Source organism: Homo sapiens, chromosome 1 (assembly GCF_000001405.40).
Source record: "Homo sapiens chromosome 1, GRCh38.p14 Primary Assembly".
NCBI classification, from domain to species: domain Eukaryota; kingdom Metazoa; phylum Chordata; class Mammalia; order Primates; family Hominidae; genus Homo; species Homo sapiens.
This window is the reverse complement of record NC_000001.11, coordinates 118,834,408-118,860,749: the sequence shown is the minus strand read 5'-3', so window position 1 is coordinate 118,860,749 and position 26,342 is coordinate 118,834,408. Positions and strand designations below refer to the sequence as shown.

The 26,342-nt window shown below is 40.6% G+C and overlaps 1 long non-coding RNA gene across 1 annotated transcript in view, besides 2 other annotated features; it reads left to right on the top strand.

Annotated features, from left to right (window-relative positions):
* LOC107985447 (uncharacterized) overlaps window positions 1–26,342 on the top strand; it is a 58,364-nt gene that overhangs the window by 5,553 nt on the left and 26,469 nt on the right. The window lies entirely within an intron of this gene.
* Window positions 7,483–8,104: an enhancer, noted in NCBI's record as "NANOG-H3K27ac-H3K4me1 hESC enhancer chr1:119395269-119395890 (GRCh37/hg19 assembly coordinates)". NCBI's record gives its function as "activates a minimal SCP1, AML or CMV promoter by ChIP-STARR-seq in naive H9 embryonic stem cells {active_cell/tissue: H9 hESC(naive)}" and the evidence as "EXISTENCE:reporter gene assay evidence [ECO:0000049][PMID:30033119]".
* Window positions 17,997–18,197: a silencer, noted in NCBI's record as "peak393 fragment used in MPRA reporter construct". NCBI's record gives its function as "represses an SCP1 promoter by STARR-seq MPRAs in K562 erythroleukemia cells {active_cell/tissue: K562}" and the evidence as "EXISTENCE:reporter gene assay evidence [ECO:0000049][PMID:32103011]".

The window sequence follows — 26,342 nt, the reverse complement described above, 5'->3', positions numbered from 1 at the left end:
AATTTTGAGAGAAAAAGAGGCACTGTTAATATCAGTTTAAAAAACATAGTTTGAAAATAGGGTGTGTTTATAATTTGTCATCCAAGCAAGGACAATTTTGAGAGAAAAAGAGGCACTGTTAATATCAGTACAAGTGAAGCTAGGACTGTGTAAAATAAACTGAAGACATCTGATACCCTACTTAGAAGACATAAGCTTAGCTTCTTTCAGAGCTAACTCGATGGGAGACTTGGAGCATTGGGATTTTTAAGGAGAAGTTGGCATTGATAGAGACTGTTGTTGGGAATGCAAGAGGCATCAATAACAAATTCACAGTTGACTTAGGGATCCTTGTGCACCGCAAAGGAGGAGGACTTTGGAAGACTGCTTGGCAGAGCTACAAACAGTAGCCATCAGTGATAGAGGTGGGAAATACATTGCCATCCTCAAGCACAGCCTATCTCCCATGCAGCTGACCTTACCCAAGTCCTGTGTTTTAGCAGAATAACGTGCTCACCGGTGGCATCAGGTCTCAGTGTGAGTGCTCATGACCCCTACTTGTAAAATGGCCAATTGCAAAAACAAACAAGCAGCTTCAAGCACCTTGGGAAAAGAGAATGCCATTTCACTCAAGATGTGCCAAATAAAACAGTCTAGAAAAAACAAAATGAATAACTTTCTTGGGCCTAATGAGAAAAGGCAAATGTTTCTAATTCAGGCTTCCTCTGAGCCTCATCCCTTGATGGGCCATTGGAACATGGTCTTGCCGAAGTTGCTGTTATTTGCCCAGCTGACTGAACCTGCCTCACAGTTGGCTTAGATGTCCTGGGCTTCCTCTGAATGGTTGCATTTATTCCACATAGCATAGTGTCCAATTCCTACTCTGTACATCATACAATTTCACCAATCTTCCATCAGCTAAGATCTGGTGTTTATTTTGCCTGACTCCTAATCCTTGGGCCTCAACCAGAGGAAGACTACTAGATGATCACCCCAACATTCTTCTGTCCCTGGATCAGAAGAAGCAAGGTCTGCATCATTTATTATTTCAATATATATTTTTTGGTAAGAGTTTTTAAGCAGAAAGTAAACGGCATGATTAGATTTCAAAAATTTGGAAATAATCCTCTGGCCACAGTGAGAAGACTGGATTGAAAGGGACAATTTTGGGGGCAGGGAGTTCTGCAGGGAGGATTTTGTAGGAGTCCATGTCCATCTGTACTAGAAGCTGAGAGATCTCAGGTCCTCCAGCCTTCGAAGTGATTCTCCTGTTTGTCTTGTGTAGCAAAAGGACAGGAGTTGGCAGCAGCCTGTAACAAAGACTTACATTGTATATAGATTATTAATACACTTTTACAATGATCCCATGTAATCCTCACAGCTATTTTGTGAATTTGGAAGTACAGGGGTTTGTATTTCCATTGCAGAGACAGGGAACTCTGAGGTTCAGAGAGGTTTAGTATTTCTGCTAAAGGCCACTATGGTGGTTAATGAGGCAGCCAGGACTAGAACCCATTTCCTAATTCCAGTCCTGAATGTGTTTTACCTTAGCAAGCTCCTCACTAGACAGCAGTTCCTTTGGAGTTCAGAGTATCTGTGGTGAGTGTGTGAGGGGACATAGCGGGCATAACTCACCACTCAAGGCTGAGAAAATGTGTCTTCTCCATGGAGGCAAGGATTGGACTCCTGTTTCCTGAAAAGGACAGGTTTAGACATTGTACTGGCTTGAATACTGTTGTATAAATTTATATCTTTCCTAGAACCTTAGAATGTGGCCTTGGTTGAAAGTAGGATCTTTGATCATATTGGAGGTGGGTGGGTCTTAAATCTGACATGACTGGTGCCCTTAAACAAAGAGGAGAAGAGACAGAAACAGAGACACACTGAGAAGAATACCATTAAACAGTGGAGGCAGGGACTGGATTGACGCATTTACAAATAAAAAACTCCAAGGATTGCCAACAACCACCAAAAGCTAGGAGAGAGGCCTGGAGCAGATTCTTCTTCAGAGCACTCCAGAGGGACCACCTTGTTGACATCTTTATTTCAGACCTGTGGCCTCCAGAACTGTGAGAGAATACATTTCTGTTGTTTTAGGGCATCTAGCTTATGGTACTTTGTCAGGGTAGCCCTAGGAAACTAACATAGCCATGCTTTGGAATAGGGCTGTCCAATAGAAATATACTGTGACTCACATATGTGATCTTAAATATTTTAATAGCTGCATTAAAAAAGTAAAAAAAGAATAAGTCAATTTAGTAATACATTTAATTTTACCCAATATGAAAATATATTACAACGTAATGATAAGTATGTGAGGCGAAGGATATGTTAATTAGCCTAATTTAATCATACCACATTGTATACATGTATCATTTTTTTTTTTTTAATTTTTTTTTTTATTATACTCTAAGCTTTAGGGTACATGTGCACATTGTGCAGGTTAGTTACATATGTATACATGTGCCATGCTGGTGCGCTGCACCCACTAACGTGTCATCTAGCATTAGGTATATCTCCCAATGCTATCCCTCCCCCCTCCCCCGACCCCACCACAGTCCCCAGAGTGTGATATTCCCCTTCCTGTGTCCATGTGATCTCATTGTTCAATTCCCACCTATGAGTGAGAATATGCGGTGTTTGGTTTTTTGTTCTTGCGATAGTTTACTGAGAATGATGGTTTCCAATTTCATCCATGTCCCTACAAAGGACATGAACTCATCATTTTTTATGGCTGCATAGTATTCCATGGTGTATATGTGCCACATTTGCTTAATCCAGTCTATCATTGTTGGACATTTGGGTTGGTTCCAAGTCTTTGCTATTGTGAATAGTGCCGCAATAAACATACGTGTGCATGTGTCTTTATAGCAGCATGATTTATAGTCCTTTGGGTATATACCCAGTAATGGGATGGCTGGGTCAAATGGTATTTCTAGTTCTAGATCCCTGAGGAATCGCCACACTGACTTCCACAATGGTTGAACTAGTTTACAGTCCCACCAACAGTGTAAAAGTGTTCCTATTTCTCCACATCCTCTCCAGCACCTGTTGTTTCCTGACTTTTTAATGATTGCCATTCTAACTGGTGTGAGATGATATCTCATAGTGGTTTTGATTTGCATTTCTCTGATGGCCAGTGATGATGAGCATTTCTTCATGTGTTTTTTGGCTGCATAAATGTCTTCTTTTGAGAAGTGTCTGTTCATGTCCTTCGCCCACTTTTTGATGGGGTTGTTTGTTTTTTTCTTGTAAATTTGTTTGAGTTCATTGTAGATTCTGGATATTAGACCTTTGTCAGATGAGTAGGTTGCGAAAATTTTCTCCCATGTTGTAGGTTGCCTGTTCACTCTGATGGTAGTTTCTTTTGCTGTGCAGAAGCTCTTGAGTTTAATTAGATCCCATTTGTCAATTTTGGCTTTTGTTGCCATTGCTTTTGGTGTTTTGGACATGAAGTCCTTGCCCACGCCTATGTCCTGAATGGTAATGCCTAGGTTTTCTTCTAGGGTTTTTATGGTTTTAGGTCTAACGTTTAAATCTTTAATCCATCTTGAATTGATTTTTGTATAAGGTGTAAGGAAGGGATCCAGTTTCAGCCTTCTACATATGGCTAGCCAGTTTTCCCAGCACCATTTATTAAATAGGGAATCCTTTCCCCATTGCTTGCTTTTCTCAGGTTTGTCAAAGATCAGATAGTTGTAGATATGCGGCATTATTTCTGAGGGCTCTGTTCTGTTCCATTGATCTATATCTCTGTTTTGGTACCAGTACCATGCTGTTTTGGTTACTGTAGCCTTGTAGTATAGTTTGAAGTCAGGTAGTGTGATGCCTCCAGCTTTGTTCTTTTGGCTTAGGATTGACTTGGCGATGCGGGCTCTTTTTTGGTTCCATATGAACTTTAAAGTAGTTTTTTCCAATTCTGTGAAGAAAGTCATTGGTAGCTTGATGGGGATGGCATTGAATCTGTAAATTACCTTGGGCAGTATGGCCATTTTCACGATATTGATTCTTCCTACCCATGAGCATGGAATGTTCTTCCATTTGTTTGTGTCTTCTTTTATTTCGTTGAGCAGTGTTTTGTAGTTCTCCTTGAAGAGGTCCTTCACATCCCTTGTAAGTTGGATTCCTAGGTATTTTATTCTCTTTGAAGCAATTGTGAATGGGAGTTCACTCATGAGTTGGCTCTCTCTTTGTCTGTTGTTGGTGTATAAGAATGCTTGTGATTTTTGTACATTGATTTTGTATCCTGAGACTTTGCTGAAGTTGCTTATCAGCTTAAGGAGATTTTGGGCTGAGACGATGGGGTTTTCTAGATAAACAATCATGTCATCTGCAAACAGGGACAATTTGACTTCCTCTTTTCCTAATTGAATACCCTTTATTTCCTTCTCCTGCCTGATTGCCCTGGCCAGAACTTCCAACACTATGTTGAATAGGAGCGGTGAGAGAGGGCATCCCTGTCTTGTGCCAGTTTTCAAAGGGAATGCTTCCAGTTTTTGCCCATTCAGTATGATATTGGCTGTGGGTTTGTCATAGATAGCTCTTATTATTTTGAAATACGTCCCATCAATACCTAATTTATTGAGAGTTTTTAGCATGAAGGGTTGTTGAATTTTGTCAAAGGCTTTTTCTGCATCTATTGAGATAATCATGTGGTTTTTGTATTTGGCTCTGTTTATATGCTGGATTACATTTATTGATTTGCGTATATTGAACCAGCCTTGCATCCCAGGGATGAAGCCCACTTGATCATGGTGGATAAGCTTTTTGATGTGCTGCTGGATTTGGTTTGCCAGTATTTTATTGAGGATTTTTGCATCAATGTTCATCAAGGATATTGGTCTAAAATTCTCTTTTTTTGTTGTGTCTCTGCCCGGCTTTGGTATCAGAATGATGCTGGCCTCATAAAATGAGTTAGGGAGGATTCCCTCTTTTTCTATTGATTGGAATAGTTTCAGAAGGAATGGTACCAGCTCCTCCTTGTACCTCTGGTAGAATTCGGCTGTGAATCCATCTGGTCCTGGACTCTTTTTGGTTGGTAAACTATTGATTATTGCCACAATTTCAGAGCCTGTTATTGGTCTATTCAGAGATTCAACTTCTTCCTGGTTTAGTCTTGGGAGAGTGTATGTGTCAAGGAATGTATCCATTTCTTCTAGATTTTCTAGTTTATTTGCGTAGAGGTGTTTGTAGTATTCTCTGATGGTAGTTTGTATTTCTGTGGGATCGGTGGTGATATCCCCTTTATCATTTTTTATTGTGTCTATTTGATTCTTCTCTCTTTTTTTCTTTATTAGTCTTGCTAGCGGTCTATCAATTTTGTTGATCCTTTCAAAAAACCAGCTCCTGGATTCATTGATTTTTTGAAGGGTTTTTTGTGTCTCTATTTCCTTCAGTTCTGCTCTGATTTTAGTTATTTCTTGCCTTCTGCTAGCTTTTGAATGTGTTTGCTCTTGCTTTTCTAGTTCTTTTAATTGTGATGTTAGGGTGTCAATTTTGGATCTTTCCTGCTTTCTCTTGTAGGCATTTAGTGCTATAAATTTCCCTCTACACACTGCTTTGAATGCGTCCCAGAGATTCTGGTATGTGGTGTCTTTGTTCTCGTTGGTTTCAAAGAACATCTTTATTTCTGCCTTCATTTCGTTATGTACCCAGTAGTCATTCAGGAGCAGGTTGTTCAGTTTCCATGGAGTTGAGCGGCTTTGAGTGAGATTCTTAATCCTGAGTTCTAGTTTGATTGCACTGTGGTCTGAGAGATAGTTTGTTATAATTTCTGTTCTTTTACATTTGCTGAGGAGAGCTTTACTTCCAACTATGTGGTGAATTTTGGAATAGGTGTGGTGTGGTGCTGAAAAAAATGTATACTCTGTTGATTTGGGGTGGAGAGTTCTGTAGATGTCTATTAGGTCTGCTTGGTGCAGAGCTGAGTTCAATTCCTGGGTATCCTTGTTGACTTTCTGTCTCGTTGATCTGTCTAATGTTGACAGTGGGGTGTTAAAGTCTCCCATTATTAATGTGTGGGAGTCTAAGTCTCTTTGTAGGTCACTCAGGACTTGCTTTATGAATCTGGGTGCTCCTGTATTGGGTGCATAAATATTTAGGATAGTTAGCTCCTCTTGTTGAATTGATCCCTTTACCATTATGTAATGGCCTTCTTTGTCTCTTTTGATCTTTGTTGGTTTAAAGTCTGTTTTATCAGAGACTAGGATTGCAACCCCTGCCTTTTTTTGTTTTCCATTTGCTTGGTAGATCTTCCTCCATCCTTTTATTTTGAGCCTATGTGTGTCTCTGCACGTGAGATGGGTTTCCTGAATACAGCACACTGATGGGTCTTGACTCTTTATCCAACTTGCCAGTCTGTGTCTTTTAATTGCAGAATTTAGTCCATTTATATTTAAAGTTAATATTGTTATGTGTGAATTTGATCCTGTCATTATGATGTTAGCTGGTGATTTTGCTCATTAGTTGATGCAGTTTCCTCCTAGTCTCGATGGTCTTTACATTTTGGCATGATTTTGCAGCGGCTGGTACCGGTTGTTCCTTTCCATGTTTAGCGCTTCCTTCAGGAGCTCTTTTAGGGCAGGCCTGGTGGTGACAAAATCTCTCAGCATTTGCTTGTCTATAAAGTATTTTATTTCTCCTTCACTTATGAAGCTTAGTTTGGCTGGATATGAAATTCTGGGTTGAAAATTCTTTTCTTTAAGAATGTTGAATATTGGCCCCCACTCTCTTCTGGCTTGTAGGGTTTCTGCCGAGAGATCCGCTGTTAGTCTGATGGGCTTTCCTTTGAGGGTAACCCGACCTTTCTCTCTGGCTGCCCTTAACATTTTTTCCTTCATTTCAACTTTGGTGAATCTGACAATTATGTGTCTTGGAGTTGCTCTTCTCGAGGAGTATCTTTGTGGCGTTCTCTGTATTTCCTGAATCTGAACGTTGGCCTGCCTTGCTAGATTGGGGAAGTTCTCCTGGATAATATCCTGCAGAGTGTTTTCCAACTTGGTTCCATTCTCCACATCACTTTCAGGTACACCAATCAGACGTAGATTTGGTCTTTTCACATAGTCCCATATTTCTTGGAGGCTTTGCTCATTTCTTTTTATTCTTTTTTCTCTAAACTTCCCTTCTCGCTTCATTTCATTCATTTCATCTTCCATTGCTGATACCCTTTCTTCCAGTTGATCGCATCGGCTCCTGAGGCTTCTGCATTCTTCACGTAGTTCTCGAGCCTTGGTTTTCAGCTCCATCAGCTCCTTTAAGCACTTCTCTGTATTGGTTATTCTAGTTATACATTCTTCTAAATTTTTTTCAAAGTTTTCAACTTCTTTGCCTTTGGTTTGAATGTCCTCCCGTAGCTCAGAGTAATTTGATCGTCTGAAGCCTTCTTCACTCAGCTCGTCAAAATCATTCTCCATCCAGCTTTGTTCTGTTGCTGGTGAGGAACTGCGTTCCTTTGGAGGAGGAGAGGCGCTCTGCGTTTTAGAGTTTCCAGTTTTTCTGTTCTGTTTTTTCCCCATCTTTGTGGTTTTATCTACTTTTGGTCTTTGATGATGGTGATGTACAGATGGGTTTTCGGTGTAGATGTCCTTTCTGGTTGTTAGTTTTCCTTCTAACAGACAGGACCCTCAGCTGCAGGTCTGTTGGAATACCCTGCTGTGTGAGGTGTCAGTGTGCCCCTGCTGGGGGGTGCCTCCCAGTTAGGCTGCTCGGGGGTCAGGGGTCAGGGACCCACTTGAGGAGGCAGTCTGCCCGTTCTCAGATCTCCAGCTGCGTGCTGGGAGAACCACTGCTCTCTTCAAAGCTGTCAGACAGGGACACTTAAGTCTGCAGAGGTTACTGCTGTCTTTTTGTTTGTCTGTGCCCTGCCCCCAGAGGTGGAGCCTACAGAGGCAGGCAGGCCTCCTTGAGCTGTGGTGGGCTCCACCCAGTTCGAGCTTCCCGGCTGCTTTGTTTACCTAAGCAAGCCTGGGCAATGGCGGGCGCCCCTCCCACAGCCTCGTTGCCGCCTTGCCGTTTGATCTCAGACTGCTGTGCTAGCAATCAGCGAGATTCCGTGGGCGTAGGACCCTCTGAGCCAGGTGTGGGATATAGTCTCGTGGTGCGCCGTTTCTTAAGCCGGTCTGAAAAGCGCAATATTTGGGTGGGAGTGACCCGATTTTCCAGGTGCGTCCGTCACCCCTTTCTTTGACTCGGAAAGGGAACTCCCTGACCCCTTGCGCTTCCCAGGTGAGGCAATGCCTCGCCCTGCTTCGGCTCGCGCACGGTGCGCACACACACTGGCCTGCGCCCACTGTCTGGCACTCCCTAGTGAGATGAACCCGGTACCTCAGATGGAAATGCAGAAATCACCCGTCTTCTGCGTCGCTCACGCTGGGAGCTGTAGACCGGAGCTGTTCCTATTCGGCCATCTTGGCTCCTCCCCTGTATACATGTATCATAACATTGCATTCTACCTCATAAATATATACAATTATTATTTGTCAACTAAAAATTAAAAAATCATTTTAACATGTAATCCATATAAAATTATTAATGGTATATTTTATAATTTTTTTCACACCAAGCCTTTGAATCTGATGTGTATTTCACACATATAGCACATTTCAAATTCATACTATTTCACGTCCTCAACTGTCACATGTCACTAGTGGCTTTCATACTAGATAATGCAAGGTTGGATTTTCTTTCTTTTTCTTTCTTTCTTTCTTCCTTCCTTCCTTCCTTCCTTCCTTTCTTTCTTTCTTTCTTTCTTTCTTTCTTTCTTTCTTTCTTCCTTTCTTTGTTCCTTTTTTTTTTTTTTTTGAGGCAGAGTCTTGCTCTGTTGCCTAGGCTGGAGTTCAATGGTGTGATCTTGGCTCACTGCAACCTTTGCCTCCCGGGTTCAAGCGATTCTCCTGCCTCAGCCTCCTGAGTAGCTGGGATTCCAGGCATGTGCCACTACACCCGGCTAATTTTTGTATTTTTAGTAGAGACAGGGTTTCACCATGTTGATCAGGCTGGTCTCAAACTCCTAACCTAATGATCTACCCGCCTCGGCCTCCCAAAGTGCTGGAATTACAGGCAAGAGCCACCGCGCCCAGCCAAGCCTGGATTTTCGGAAGGCCTTTTCCCTTACAACCCTGCTTCCTGGTGCTCTCTCAGTTCCTATTGATTTGTTCTACATACACAGTCCCTCAAATACCCACTGCTTCTCCACTGGGGGACATCAGGGTCAGCCCTGCCCCTGGTGCCACCAGAATATCTTGCATGGAGGAGCTGGGGCAGAATTTTTTTCCAGACTTGCTGCTTCCTCACTATGGTTCCAGGACCTGTCCTAGGACTTTCTCATTGACTTGGGTCAATCTTGTTTTAGCCCCTGCTTTCTCCCGGGGGCAAGGTATTGTCAGTCCTCTGGCTCCATAGCTGAACCCCAAATCTCCATTGTCCCGAAGCACATATTTAAGCACATGTTCTTCCTTTTCTCCCTTCCACTACTGCCAGGAGTGAGGAAGCAGGCAAAGGTCTGAATCTGACACTGACAGATTCTCATGCTGATTCTAAAGAGATGCCCAAGACCAAATGTTATAAAGACAAACCATATGGGAACCCCAGCACTCTGGGCCATTAATAGGAATTTTTAAATGACTGTGATTGATGGCACTGCTCTTACAAGTCCAAGATCAATGAAAATGCATCTTGATCTTTTGAACTTGCTCGTTTTATCTTGGATCCTTTTTCTGTACAATGAGACCCACTTCTGTGATGCCTGGAGGCATCTGGAGCCCCTGCAATGGATTTGCCATCTATGCCCTTGCCAGCCAGCTGGAATGACGTAGGAATGGTGGAGGGTGAGAGCCTTGGAAACTAGAATTCTCATTGCAATGCTAGATGCCAAACCAGTCCTTACAAAGTGAAAATTTCACACTCTTCCTAGAAAAAGACTCTGGACCAAATTAGGAACATCACCCACATCGTTACTGACCCGGGGATGTTTAATTAATAAATGTTTATTAGATAAACATTTGTGTTCTTGAGTTTGTTTATGTGCCCCCATTTACCTGGGCATGAAAATAATTCCCTTTCTCCTTCGCCCATATTGTTCCAAAGTAATGAAGAAGGATTTGGTAGAGAATTTGCCTTAGTTTGGAGTCTTGAATTCTCCTCAGATCTGAAGGCCTGTCTCCCAAGAATACATCAGTGAATATAATTTTGCATGCAATTTCAGGGCATTCACAAACCTTCTGGGACTCATCCATGGACCTCTCACATTAAGGACAATTGGTGCAGAAAAACTATTATGGGCTCCAAGTGAGGGCATAAGATTGAGGTGGGACACTATGCCATTTGTTTAAAAAGAGGCAGAAAACCATATCTTTTTCTTCCTTTATGTGTTTCTCAGAAAGCCACAATGCTGCTTTATGAAGATAGGTTCTTTGGTCAAATGAGTTTGGGAACTACTGAACCAGTTATTCTCTCTTCACTTCCACTTTGGAAGTTAGTGATACAAAGCAACATATTGCATGCTTTTAAGACATTCAGAAGAAATTCCAAATTAATTTGACCAGATAATCTTATTTTTGTCCAACACTTCAAACAATCTGCCGAATACACTTTGGGAAACATTAAATCTGGACCATATAGACCATTCCATGTTTTGGTTTCTCCCATAAAAGCCACGGCGTTCTACTTTTCTCTCCACTTCAAACTATAGTGTATGTGTCTGCCTTTGCAGTGTCCTGGGTAGCATGGCTATTGGCACACATTGTTAAGTGTGGGGAGGCAGGGCCACAGATGAGTGCAGCAGGGCTGCCTTTTTTCCCATCCCCAGAAGTCATTATTATGCACATTGTTTTTTGCTAGGGAGGATGCCATTCTCATTGAATACAAAATTAACAATGTCCCCTGGAGTTGTGCAGTGGTGTGGTACTGGAGTGCAGACTTAGTTCTCAAAGGTGCTAACTGGCTTTTGCTCGTTCTTTGGGTTGTGGACAACTAGGGTTTTGCTTTGGTCCAGCTGTCTGGAGTCACCCAACAGGAAGGGCAGTTGTCAGGTTGGGTGGAGGACCTGGCTGAGAGAGGGACAAAGAAAATGTCTCCAAGAAGTTGGCATTGGAGGTAAGCCTTGAGGGACATGAGGGGTTAATTCAGCAGAGATACTCCTTGGCAGAGAGGATGGCCTGAACAATGGTATGGGGGCTTGCACATCATAGAACAAGTGATCTGTGGAGCATATACTGGGAAACAGATCTGCATAACTAAGGGGTGTCTGGCTGCATTTCCAATGGTTCATATTCTAGAGAAGGCCGCAGCAGTATACAAACCTAACTTCATTTAAAGCTCATAGTTTTGGTATGGTAGATAATAAAGGACCCCACAGAGTTAGGTGTCTGGCAGAACATTCCAACCCTCATTCAAGGGCTCAAACTTGGACAATGGCCATACATGGTTTCCCTTTTTAAAACTTGTTTTTGTTATTGTTAATTGTTAAGCCCTGGGTATTCTGTGAGAAACAATCCATCTGTTTCTGCTTCTTTCACACTTAACTTATTGAAACCTTTTGTAAGAGCTTTTGGATAGTGAACCATCCCTCAGAACCATTTCCATAAGCCTTTTAAGACTGTTTATTCTGAAGTAGGAAGTTGCTATTTTGCCAAAAGAATACGAATCTTGGGCCTGAGGACTCTACTGCTGGACATTCTGCCAATCTCATAGGCTTTCAACCTGGCCAAAGTGTCTCCCCATTCTGAATTGGAAGCTGCAGAGTTTCCCCCAGTTCTGTGACCTTATTGATAGAACAGACTCAGTTTTCTCCATCCTCATAGCATCTGTGAGATTGATCAGCTTCTTGGCACCTTCAACTTGCATAAAGTATGGAAGTAGGTGAGCTCAGCATGCATTTTCAAAATGTTCATTTCCAAATAAGATTTCTTCAAACAAGGTAACTCATAAGAACACGTGGATACTCATTCAGAGGGCAGCTGCCTCTCCAATTTCCCTTGGTTCATGATGTCAGGAACCACTTCTTACTTATCTTTGTAGCTCCAGTATTTATTTCAGGGTTCAGCATAAGACAAATGCTCAGGAAATGTGTGTTGATTGACCAACTACTGTCTAAGGGATCCGTGTGTGAAAACAAAAATCACAGAAGTTCTCCTCAACCAAACTAAACTAAATTTAAAAATATTCTTAAGGAATTATTATCGGTATGGATATTAAAACATGTATTAGTTCTGGGAGGCAAGTTTTCCCTCTGTTATATAAAGACAAATTTAGTGCTTTAATAAAAAGAATATCAAGCTTACCAGAATCCAAGGTGGTTTAATTTCCATGAGGGAGACTGGCTTGACTTGGAAAATATAACTGTTTTTCATATGGAAAGTGAAAAACTGGTGACTGTACTGGTTCATGTCCACCAGTCTTAAGGCTTTTGTCATAATAGTTTTGATGAGCTCAGTCAGAATTTCCAGTGGAATTTGAGAGTTTGAAATATTAATGCCTCTGATCTGAGGGAGGAAAAACCCTGAGCAAAGTGGAATCAGGCAGGAGTTATGGACACAGGCAGCAGATAGAGGCTTTGGCACCAGAAGACTGAGTTTGACGATAATGGTGAAGGCTTATTAAGCACTCAACAGCTGCCAGACACTGTTCTAAGTGTCTAACTGGCATTATTTTATTTAATTCTCATAACAGTAACAACCCAATGAGGTAGGAACTATTATTCTTTCTGTTTACTAATGAGGAAACTAAGGCACAGAGATGTTATCACTTGCCTAAGGTCACACAGCAGAGGATGGACTTGATCCCAAGTAGTAGAACTCTAGTCTCGGTGTTCTTTTTTTTGAGACAGAGTCTCACTCTGTCACTCAGGCTGGAGTGCAGTGGCGTGATCTCGGCTCACTGCAACCTCCGCCTCCCGGATTCAAGCAATTCGCCTGCCTTAGCCTCCCGAGTAGCTGGGATTACAGGGGCGCACCACCATGCCTGGCTAATTTTTGTATTTTTAGTAGAGATGGGGTTTCACCATGTTGGTCAGGCTGGTCTCAAACTCCTGACCTCGTGATCCACATGCCTCGGCCTCCCAAAGTGCTGGGATTACAGGCGTGAGCCACCACGCCTGGCCCAGTCTCGGTGTTCTTAATCTCTGCCTGGTAACAACACTGCTCATCAGCTATGCAATATTGAGAAGGGCATTTTGAAACCTTGACTCTGGGTACTCAGGACCATGATTGGAATATTAATAAGAATAGTAGCTTTGCTTTGTCTTCAGCACAGGATAATTCTGTGTACCATTTCAGGTAATGAATATTAAAACATTTGTATTAAAGCCCGAGATATACAATACTTACCTATTTATCTGAACAAGTGCCTGGCTCAGAGAAATGGCTTAACAAATATTTTTTGAATAATGGAATGAAGAAGAATAGATTTATAATAAAGCAAAACTCACTTTTTCTCCAAATCTGCTACGTATTTATTCACACAGGCTCTTTTAACATGCCATAATTCTTGCAGGTAAATGTAAATCTTATACTTGATATAAACATGGTATAGACTAAACACCTCCCAAAGATCACCTGCAATTTAGGTGCATTTCAGGGTCTTTCTTTCTTGGAATCATCTTATTTAATAATGAATATCAGGTAAGGTGGCAAACCTTATCATTCAAAAATTTAAATAAATGTCTATTATCTATCCTGTTCCATTCTTGAAAATTATGATAACTCAAGAGGTAGGTATCTCAGGGAAGAACACTGTGATGTGTGGCTGGAGCAAGAAATGTGTATCTCTTGTTCAGTGTTGAGTTTTGGCTCGTAGAATAGAGACTGGCTCATAATAGGTACTCAGATATCTGTTGAAATAACCCAGGAAGAGGTGTGATGGGGGGATTAGCAGCAGCTAGTCATAAACTGCCTGAGCAGTATGTGGGAAAGTGCTGGCCCAGGAGATAGCTGGATATCTGGGAGCCTTTTCATCCCAGGAGGCTCTTCCTGGGGGCCTTCCCACTCAGCCATGGGAAGCTGCTTCTCTCTCTATGAAGTTTAGACTTTCCTGTGCACCCAGAGGTATCTTTCAACAATCAGGAGCTGAGTGCTTAGACAAAGGGTGAGGTGAGCTTGGACAAAAATCAAGATGAATATCTGTGACTATGCACATACTTGGTACAGACACGTCCATATATGCAACAGACACAAATACATGGAGATTGAACTGAAGTAAATCAGGAATCCCTGGATGATCTACTGAACTCAAACAGAAACCACTTACGAATATTTTTTCTGAACTTTCAACTGAAACCTCTTCTACAATAATAATTGTAATAAAAACCCCAAACACAGACCTGCACACCAAAGAAATGAAAATACTCCTATGAATCAGTTTGAACTAGAACTGACCTCCACATTTAAAACAAACTACTGAGCCCCTGGATTAAAATATTATCCAAACAGACCATTAACCAAACTCCTATTTCCTCTCTTTAAATTCATTTAAATAGAATTATTTAATTATTTAAATTAAATTCATTTAAATAGAGCTACACTGTACTCTATGCAAATAATATGTTCAACGAAAGGTGAATGGACCTAGTTGTGAGAACCAAGTGTATTTTAACAGTAGCAGAGAATGGAATACATAAAATAACCTTATTCTGAATAATTTTACAAAGAAAGATCCCACTTGTGATGAGAATAATTGGATCCTGGTTTGTCTTTTAAATCGATTTAGATTTCCATATCTTGGCTTTTCCTAAAAAGTGGCCCCACCAATATTATGCTAAGTTAAATAAGCCAGGCACAGAAAGACAAATACTGCATGATCTCACTTATATATGAAATCTAAAAAAGTCAAATTCCTAAAAGCAGAAAGTAGACAGGTGGTTCCCAGGGACTGTGGGGGTTGGGGAAATGGAGAGATGGTGGTTAAAAGGTACAAAGTTTCTGTCATGGAGGGTAAATAAGTTCTGGGAACCTTATGTGCAACACGATGACTATAGTTACTAACGTTGTATTGTATACTTGAAATTTGCTAAAAGAGTTTATCTTAAATGTTCTTACCACACCAAAAAGGGTAACTATTTGAGGTGATAGATACATTAATTAGCTTGATTGTGATAATCATTTCACAATGTGTACGTATATTAAAACATTGTATTGTACCTGTTGTATATAAATACATATAATTCTTATTTGTCAAGTATACCTCAATAAAGCTGGGGAAAAAGTAGCTGACATGGTTTGGCTGTGTCCCCATCCAAATATCATCTTGAAGTCCCACGAGTTATAGGAGGGACCTGGTGGGAGGTAATTGAATCATGGGGCCAGGCCTTTACTGTGCTTTTGTTTTCTTTTCTTTTTTTTTTTTTTTGAGATGGAGTTTTGCTCTTGTCGCCCAGGCTGGAGTGTGATGGCGCGATCTTGGCTCACCACAACCTCCGCCTCCCAGATTCAAGGAATTCTCCTGCCTCAGCCTCCCAAGTAGCTGGGATTACAGGCATGAACCACCACAGCCAGCTAATTTTTTGTATTTTTAGTAGAGATGGGGTTTCTCCATGTTGATCAGGCTGGTCTCGAACTCCCGACCTCAGGTGATCCACCTGGGTCAGCCTCCCAAAGTGGTGGGATTACAGGCGTGAGCCACAGCAACCAGCTTTTCCTGTGCTTTTCTGGTGATAGTGAATAAGTCTCATGGGATCTAATGGTTTTAAAAGGGGAGTTTCTCTGCATAGCTCTCTCTTTGCCTGCTGCCATCCATGTAGATGTGACTTGCTCCTCCTTGCCTTCTGCCATGATTGTGAGGCCTCCCCAGCCATGTGGGACTGTAAGTCCATTAAATCTTTTTCTTTTGTAAATTGTCCAGTCTCAGATATGTCTTTATCAGCAGCATGAAAATGGACTAACACGGTAGTCTACAAAAAAAGTGGCCCCACCAGCCTACACATGTAGATGCATTTCAGCACCCTGGATCAGGCTGAGTATTGGTTTTTATTGTTCCTTGCAGGCTCCTTTGTCATTAAACCTCTGCTTTGAAGTATTTTACTGAGCCCGGTCCAAAGAGTTTCTGCTATGGCCTCCTGCCCAGGTTTCTGATCAGGGTCTTGGGAGCTGCACAGACACCTCAGGCTTGGACAGTGATATCACTGTTCTCAGATGCAGGTGAGCCAAAAAGTGTCCAAACACTTAATGGTGGTGGTGTCTCCAGTCTTGATCCAAAAGGAGCTGCTGTAACTCAGGAATTGATGAAGGAGCTAAATGATGATGGCACTCAGGCTCATCCAGTCTCAGGACACTCCAGAGATTTTACACAATACCACATCACACACAGCATGGATGTGGTTTCCACCAGCCTTTAGAGATTCACAGGCAAGTGAGCATGATCTGACTTCCCCACTGTGAAATGTCTGTTCATAGATTCTGGGGCCAATGAAATTGTGAAATGTAAGTGGTTTTAGCTACATTGCTCAGTCACCCACCATAATCCACCTTCTTGATTCCTTCATTATGCAACACTATACAAACACTACAATAATTTTCTAAACTTCTTGAGTTATTGTTATATAAACCTGATACCTGTCAACAGGTAGGAAGGTTATTGTATTTGACTCGGCACTATCTTGAAACTTTTTCTACCATGAGTAATTTTCAAGCTAAATTTTGTTTTAATTTGTTTTGTGTTAATTACTCTTTTATTTTTGTTTTTATTCTTATTATTTTTTACAGTTTCCATTAAAGTGCATATCCTCAATTCATTTGTAAAAATTAACTTGAGGAATCCTCTGAATCTACCTTTTTGCTATATCTCACTGTTTCCAATAAGATTTTCCCAGGAGTTTTATCTGGGTCTATATTAGAGGGTCACAGCAAATGAGTTTTAAATAATTTTCAATTCTTGGCCAATTTTAAAGCTCAATGCTTATTTCTACTACTCTGAAAGCATTGCTTCTGGATTTTGCCTCCATAGCTTTTCTTAAAAACTAAAAATTATCACACATTTAAAACATAAATAAATTCTTGTTATAAAAATCCAAAGTATAGTTCTAGAAAGAAGTTATAGTTTTTTCTTTCTCCAATTCCTTCTCAGGAAAGATGCACAGAATTGTGGCCCTTGTGCCTAAACAGTTAAGTTTGCTGGAGTTTCGGTGAGTCTTCCTGATACAGGAATTCTTGGATACTCACCAATTCCCTACAATAATTATGGATAGTTTAGCTGAAGTTAATCATCATTAGTAATCTCCATCTTCTACAATTTGATAAGCACCTACCATGTGCTGGGCACTGTTTTCTTTAAACCTATGTTTTTAACTAATAGGTGTTTATTCTGTACGATCCCTGTTTAAAATATGAGAAATATAAGGCTCAGAGAGGCTAAGTAACTTGTCCAAGGTCACATAGCTACTAAGAGGCAGGCCCAGATTGGAGATGAATATGTTTGACTCCCGGAATCCACGTGCTCATCTGCGGGATGCTGGAGCTAGCTATACCAGCTCACCACCATGATTCTGCACATCTTTTTGCAACTCTACCTTCCCTGACGTCACAATGGTAGTTTGAAATCCTGTATTTAGGCCATGGAAATCTGAAGATTGTACAAGTCAGAGCTTTTTGTAACCTTCGGAGACCTGCTTTTACTACTTTGCGTGTTCTCCTTTGCCAAACTACTTCTCTGAAGAGGAAGGACACAGAGTAAATCTACGGAAGCAGTGAAGGGAAATGGTTTCCAGAAACCTTTGCCCAAATACGTCATACTAGTTTTTGTGGTCGAATGAGCTATAAAAACTTCCTCAGCCAGAGAGCTTTTATTGACCGGCACTCAATACCCATCCTCAGGCCCCCACAAAGCACTTTTTATGGAAATTGCGTCAATATTTGCACACCCTTAACGAGGCCGTGTCTCAATTCCTGGTACTTCAGCATCTCCTCTGAGTTTCTCACACACTCTTGGGTAGAAAGGGGATTCTGCAAATCTAGTTAAACCAAATCTTCAGGGACTGATTACACAGGTCATGGATAATCCAAGCCCTCTTTCCCCCTACTTCTTTTCACCTTCTGGCCTTTTTACTGCTCATTAGCACCTCGGCCAGAGACCTGGGCCTGGGAAGGAGTGAGTGGGTGTGGAAGTCCCATCGGCCCCTCTGGCTTCTGGCCAGCAACCCTTGTGTAGCTTTTGTTAGGAGGAGTAACCTAGAGACGAGGTAAATTGATCCCTGGCATATGTGGGGTTTTATTCAGCTGAGTTACCGACATTGGCCTCACCCACTCCCAGCACTGCTTACACTGATGCCACAAATCATTAAGTGTTGGTTGCATTAACTGTCGTCCTACTCCATGGTTATTTAATTTGCTTCAAAATTTTTCACTGGTGGCCAGTTTAGTTACCACCATTTGTGAATCTGGTTGAGCATCGTGCAGCGAAGAGAAAGGAAGACAGAGACAATTCAAATTAAATAATGCTCATAAAGTAGGCCTTGAGAGAAGTAAAAGGCTGCTTTCTATGTAAGTAAAAGGCTGATTTCAGGGATATCTCATGAGCTGCTGCCCTTTAGTGCTTCCTGAAATTGTACTAGGAAGATGAAATATTTTATTCCATATCACTCCTTCCTGAAAAAAACCTTACATGTGTTGAATCATTATTAAACAAAAACATAAGCTTTAGTAAAGTCTTTGGGTATGGTTGTTTATTTGGCTGTGCATTTACCTGCTCATTAATGTATTCATTTATACAATACTAGAGCATCCACCATAAGCTGGATACAGTGCTTGGGATGTATTGCTGAGTAAAACAGACATGGTCTCTGTTCTTGTGCTGCTTGAAGTTTTGTTGGCAGTACAAAGCTAATAAATAGGGCACAGCTATACAGAATAATGAGGGATCATATTTTAGATATGGCAGGGCTGGTCAGAGAAGGTTTCTCTGTGAAGAGACATTTAAACTGAGATGTGAGCAATGGGAAGAGACCCATCATGTAAAAAGCTGGGAAGAGCAATCTTTTCTCCAGATTGGTCAAACAGTAAGCTCAGAGGCTGTGGGGTGAATCTTACATGCTGAGGAACTGAAAGAAGGTCAGTGTGGCTGGTGTGCATGAGGAAGGGGGAGTGGCAGGAAACTGGATTGGAGAAGTCACTGGGGACAGGGGTGAATGGGGGCACATTATGCAGGACTTGCAGGCTTTAATAAGGAATTTAGACTTAGTATTCCAAGTGCAATGGGAAGGTATATCAGTCAGAGTTCTCCAAAGGACCAGAGCCAATAGGATGTGTGTGTGTGTGTGTGTGTGTGTGTGTGTGTGTGTGTGTGTGTATCTATGGGTGGGGAGGATTTTTTAAATAAGGAATTGACTTACAGGATTATGGAGGCTGAGAAGTCCTGATCCAGGCAAGATGGTGGTACAGTTTCGGCACAAATTCCAAGGTCTGAGCAGCAGGAAAGCCAATGATGTATGTGTGAGTGTGCGTCTGAGTCTGAGAAACAGTAAGGCCAATGATGTAAGTTCCAGTCTAATTCTGAGTCTCAAGGCAGGAGAAGGTCAATATCCCAGCTCAAAGACAGCTATCCAGAGCAAAAGAGTTCTTTCTTCCTTAGCTTTTTATTCTACTCAGGTCTATAATATATTGAATGAGCTCCCCACCCCATATTATGGAGGCCAATCTACTTTAGTCAGTGCCATCGTCTGAATGCTTGTGTTCCCCCAAAATTCATATATTGGAATCTAATCCCCAATGAGATAATATTAAGGGGTGGGAAGTTTTTTGGTCATGAGAACTTTGTCATCACGAATGGAATTAGTGCCCTTATAAAGAGATCCAGGGAAGCTTGTTATCCCCTTCTGCCATGTGAGGATGCAGCAAGAAGGCACCATCTATGAGGAATGGGCCCTCACCAGACACTGAATCTGCTGACATCTTGATCTTGGACTACCTGGCCTCCAGAACTGTGAACAATGTCTTTCTTTTTAAAAAAGATTATCAAATTTTATTTTAGATATGGGGGTATATGTGCAGTTTTGTTACATGGTAATATTGTGTTATGCTGTGCTATAGAATATAAATTTCTGTTGTTTATAAATTACCCTCTCTGAGGTATTTTGTTATAGCAGCTCAGATGCATACTCAGTCTATTCATTCAAATGTTAATCTTACCCAGAAACACCGCCCTTGCCTCAGATACACCAATAAATAATGTTTAACCAAAAATCTGAGTACTCAATGGCCCGGTCAGATCAACACATAAAATTAACTATCACAGAAGTTATGGAAGGGTTTTAAGCAGGGAAAGAACATAAAACATATTTTAAAAGTTCTACTCTGGCTTCTGCATGGAGAATGCCTTGTAGGGACTAGGAGTGGAAATGAGGAGGTCAGTTAGGTGGCTATTGTGAGATTCTAGATGAGAGACAGTCATGGGATATACCAAGTTGGCAGCAGTCAGGATGAAGACAAGTAGATAAACTCAAGATATAGTTTGGAGGGAGAATTTATGAGACTTATTTGATGATTTGCACATGTGTCTGTGTGGGAATTAGGGATCAAGATGATTCCCAGGTCATATGGTTTGATTGTGTCCCCACCCAAATCTCATCTTGAATTCACACATGTTGTGGGAGGGACTCAGTGGGAGATAATTGAACATGGGGGCGAGTATTTCCCGTGCTGTTCTCATGATGTGAGTAAGTCTCATGAGATCTGATGGTTTTAAAAAATGGGAGTTTCCCTGCACAAGCTCTCTTTTGTCTGCTGCCATGTGAGATATGCCTTTCACCTTCCGCAATGATTGTGAAGCCTTCCCAGTCACGTGGAATTGTTAAGTTCATTAAACCTCTTTCTTTTGTAAGAGTATCCCTTTATCAGCAGCATGAAAATGGGCTAATATACCAGGTTTCTGTATTGATGATGGTACCATTTCTGGGTTGAGTGAGACTGGGATAGAGTTAGGTTAGGTGGTAGTGGGGAGAATTAAGAGTTCTGTTCTGAACATGTTCATCTTGAATACCACTCCCTTAAGCTTCAACTTGTTGTGTACATAAAGATGTTAGGAAAAGCTTCCTGAAATAAAAAAGGAAAAGCTATTAAAGGAAACTTAAATGTTTGAAATGAAGTTTACACATCACGCATTATTCACTTTCTTATAGTGATTTATTTCCCTGAGTACTCACAGTAAGCAGCACACACATATGCTTGAAAACTTTCTTAGAAGTCAACGAAGTTTCTGGAAAACATTGTTTTGCTCTTTCTTGCAGATTAGTTAGTATAGTTATCTTTAGCCTTCTGCCACTTTTTTCATATGCTAAATTATATAGAATCATTGATGGAGGTTATGAGCTCTCTTCTGTTTCTTCTTTTAGCATTAATAAGAACTATTCACATGTATTGAACACTTATTATTTGGCATCCACTTTTCTAAGAGTATGACATGTATTTATATATAAATAAATAAATTCTGGGAGATTACTATTATTATTTCCATTATAAAAGGGGGAAATGAAGGAGAAAGTGTATTTACTTGTCCAAGATCATATAGCTCACAAGCAGCAGAGCCAAGATTGTATGCTAGATTGTTATATCCTAAGAGAACTTGATCTTTTGACCATCGAGTCCTATTGCTCCTTGACAAGAGGTTGGAGAATAATCCATGTGAACTTGCCACTTAAACCATTTTAATTGTCTAAATCACTGTTTCCAAAACCAGCTGCTCATCAAAATCACCTAGAAAGCTTGTTAAAATAAGACTCCCTGCTCTGTGCAGACCTAAATCAGTGTCTGTTAGAATTGGGGTTGGGAATCTGTGTCCTTTATAAGTTTTCCAAGTAATTCTGATGTAGCCAATCTACACAGCAATATTTTTTAAGAATAAGAGATACAAATTATCTTTTATCGCTTTTCATCCTTCTGAGACAAAATTTACTTTTAAATAGTGCTTGTTCTATTCTTCCCTGTTTTCAGACTGTTCTCTTTGATTATGAGCTGAAAGCTCCATAGAATCTCGGAGTTTTGCTGTCTGCATTCAGTTAGGATCATTCTTTCACATTTCCCCATTAATTCAAAGTAAACTTTACAGTTGAGAAATTATATTTTAACTTTTAAACTTTTTTAAGAGAAGGTCAACATTTCCCTAAGACATTTTCCATAGTTTCAATATTTCACCACAAAGGCTAGTTGTTTTCAATTTGAAACAACTAAAATGAAAAAATGTGGCTTTTATTTTAGATTTTTTTAGTTGAAGCATCCTAATTTATCCAGAATAAAAGAATTTTGGGGAATATTCTACCCATTTTTGAATTTTCATATTTTTTAGTCTCAAAAAAATGGGTTAAAGCTCTTCTTCAATCAAGACCTGGGTCTCTACAAAACTGTGAGGGAGGTAGTTAGTCTATTGTGTTGTTCCAGTTACCACTTCCATGCTACTCCCCAGTCCTGCTGTGTGTGCTTAGTGGCAACTCAGGACTTCACGTGGTATGTTCAGAGACGACGACCAACCTTCTTGCTTTACCTGAAACTAACGGTTTATTTGGGGATGTGGGATTCTCAGTGCTAAGACTTGGTCAGTCCTAGGTCCAGGAAAGTTTGTTGCCCTACCTGTATTATAGAAAGAGAATCAGCAGGAGGAAAGATTATTATTCTTTTCTGTTTCCCTGAGATGCTATTAGCAGGTACCCCAGAGCAAGAATAGGTTTATATTCTAAGTGTGAAAGGAAGCAGTTGTTAATAACATGCTTGGGTACCACTGTGTTGGTGAACCTGCTTGGGCAAAGAAAAGTCAAGAACTGGAGAAATTATGCTGAAGGGACCCTTTTTTCTTCTTCCACTGAGGAATAAAATACAATTTCTCAATGTGGCTCTATATGAAAGTTATAGTCTAACATTTTCTGTGTTAAATTTGGGGCTTTCCCATAGTTCAGCGTGCATTTTAACTGTCAGATCTTTCACATCAGATAGGTAAATTCTTCATACTAGACCTGAATCAGGTAAGAGATGGTGCTGGAAAATGATTTGAGAAATCAAATGTGGCATTTGAGGTAAATTTCTACTTCTCCCATGCAGAGGGGTGGAAACTCTTATGTTCCCCGACCCCCCTCTCTCACTGCACCATGATCTCATCACTTTCTGCAGAGTGTGTATCATGTATTGTAAGTATGTAATTATTTGTGTATTGATATGTTCAATGTTCACTCCTCATTTAGCTCTTTGTCTGCCTATGCACTTTACAACTTTGGCTTTTATTTTATTTTATTATTATTATACTTTAAGTTTTAGGGTACATGTGCACAATGTGCAGGTTAGTTACATATGTATACATGTGCCATGCTGGTGTGCTGCACCCATTAACTCGTCATTTACATTAGGTATATCTCCTAATGCTATCCCTCCCCCCTCCCCACACCCCACAACAGTCCCCAGAGTGTGATGTTCCCCTTCCTGTGTCCATGTGTTCTCATTGTTCAATTCCCACCTATGAGTCAGAACATGCGGTGTTTGCTTTTTGTCCTTGCAATAGTTTACTGAGAATGATGATTTCCAATTTCATCCATGTCCCTATAAAGGACATGAACTCATCATTTTTTATGGCTGCGTAGTATTCCGTGGTGTATGTGTGCCACATTTTCTTAATCCAGTCTATCATTGTTGGACATTTGGGTTGGTTACAAGTCTTTGCTGTTGTGAATAGTGCTGCAGTAAACATACATGTGCATGTGTCTTTATAGCAGCATGATTTATAGTCCTTTGGGTGTATACCCAGTAATGGGATGGCTGGGTCAAATGGTATTTCTAGTTCTAGATCCCTGAGGAATCACCACACTGACTTCCACAATGGTTGAACTAGTTTACAGTCCCACAACAGTGTAAAAGTGTTCCTATTTCTCCACATCCTCTCCAGCACCTGTCGTTTCCTGACTTTTTAATGATTGCCATTCTAACTGGTGTGAGATGGTATCTCATTGTGGTTTTGATTTGCATTTCTCTGATGGCCAGTGATGGTGAGCATTTTTTCATGTGTGTTTTGGCTGCATAAATGTCTTCTTTTGAGAAGTGTCTGTTCATGTCCTTCGCCCACTTTTTGATGGGGTTGTTTGTTTTTTTCTTGTAAATTTGTTTGAGTTCATTGTAGATTCTGGATATTAGCCCTTTGTCAGATGAGTAGGTTGCAAAAATTTTCTCCCATTTTGTAGGTTGCCTGTTCACTCTGATGGTAGTTTCTTTTGCTGTGCAGAAGCTCTTTAGTTTAATTAGATCCCATTTGTCAACTTTGGCTTTTGTTGCCATTGCTTTTGGTGTTTTAGACATGAAGTCCTTGCCCATGCCTATGTCCTGAATGGTAATGCCTAGGTTTTCTTCTAGGGTTTTTATGGTTTTAGGTCTAACGTTTAAGTCTTTAATCCATCTTGAATTCATTTTTGTATAAGGTGTAAGGAAGGGATCCAATTTCAGCTTTCTACATATGGCTAGCCAGTTTTCCCAGCACCATTTATTAAATAGGGAATCCTTTCCCCATTGCTTGTTTTTCTCAGGTTTGTCGAAGATCAGATAGTTGTAGATATGTGGCGTTACTTCTGAGGGCTCTGTTCTGTTCCATTGATCTATATCTCTGTTTTGGTAACAGTACCATGCTGTTTTGGTTACTGTAGCCTTGTGGTATAGTTTGAAGTCAGGTAGCATGATGCCTCCAGCTTTGTTCTTTTGGCTTAGGATTGATTTGGCAATGGAGGCTCTTTTTTGGTTCCATATGAACTTTAAAGTAGTTTTTTCCAATTCTGTGAAGAAAGTCATTGGTAGCTTGATGGGGATGGCATTGAATCTATGAATTACCTTGGGCAGTATGGCCATTTTCACGATATTGATTCTTCCTACCCATGAGCATGGAATGTTCTTTCATTTGTTTGTATCCTCTTTTATTTCACTGGGCAGTGGTTTGTAGTTCTCCTTGAAGAGGTCCTTCACATCCCTTGGAAGTTGGATTCCTAGGTATTTTATTCTCTTTGAAGCAATTGTGAATGGGAGTTCACTCATGATTTGGCTCTCTGTTTGTCTGTTATTGGTGTATAAGAATGCTTGTGATTTTTGTACATTGATTTTGTATCCTGAGACTGCTGAAGTTGCTTATCAGGTTAAGGAGATTTTGGGCTGAGACGATGGGGTTTTCTAGATATACACTCATGCCGTCTGCAAACAGGGACAATTTAACTTCCTCTTTTCCTAATTGAATACTCTTTATTTCCATCTCCTGCCTAATTGCCCTGGCCAGAACTTCCAACACTATGTTGAATAGGACTGGTGAGAGAGGGCATCCCTGTCTTGTGCCAGTTTTCAAAGGGAATGCTTCCAGTTTTTGCCCATTCAGTATGATATTGGCTGTGGGTTTGTCATAGATAGCTCTTACTATTTTGAGATACGTCCCATCAATACCTAATTTATTGAGAGTTTTTAGCATGAAGGGTTGTTGAATTTTGTCAAAGGCCTTTTCTGCATCTATTGAGATAATCATGTGGTTTTCGTCTTCGGTTCTGTTTATATGCTGGATTACATTTATTGATTTGCATATATTGAACCAGCCTTGCATCCCAGGGATGAAGCCCACTTGATCATGGTGGATAAGCTTTTTGATGTGCTGCTGGATTTGGTTTGCCAGTATTTTATTGAGGATTTTTGCATCAATGTTCATCAAGGATATTGGTCTAAAATTTTCTTTTTTGGTTGTCTCTCTGCCCGGCTTTGGTATCAGGATGATGCTGGCCTCATAAAATGAGTTAGGGAGGATTCCGTCTTTTTCTATTGATTGGAATAGTTTCAGAAAGAATGGTACCAGTTCCTCCTTGTACCTCTGGTAGAATTCGGCTGTGAATCTATCCGGTCCTGGACTCTTTTTGGTTGATAAGCTATTGATTATTGCCCCAATTTCAGAGCCTGTTATTGGTCTATTTAGAGATTCAACTTCTTCCTGGTTTAGTCTTGGGAGGGTGTATGTGTCGAGGAATTTATCCATTTCTTCTAGATTTTCTAGTTTATTTGTGTAGAGATGTTTGTAGTATTCTCTGATGGTAGTTTGTATGTCTGTGGGATTGGTGGTGATATCCCCTTTATCATTTTTTATTGCGTCTATTTGATTCTTCTCTCTTTTCTTCTTTATTAGTCTTGCTAGTGGTCTATCAATTTTGTTGATACTTTCAAAAAACCAGCTCCTGGATTCATTAATTTTTTGAAGGGTTTTTTGTGTCTCTATTTCCTTCAGTTCTGCTACGATTTTAGTTATTTCTCGTCTTCTGCTAGCTTTTGAATATGTTTGCTCTTGCTTTTCTAGTTCTTCTAATTGTGATGTTAGGGTGTCAATTTTGGATCTTTCCTGCTTTCTCTTGTGGGCATTTAGTGCTATAAATTTCCCTCTACACACTGCTTTGAATGTGT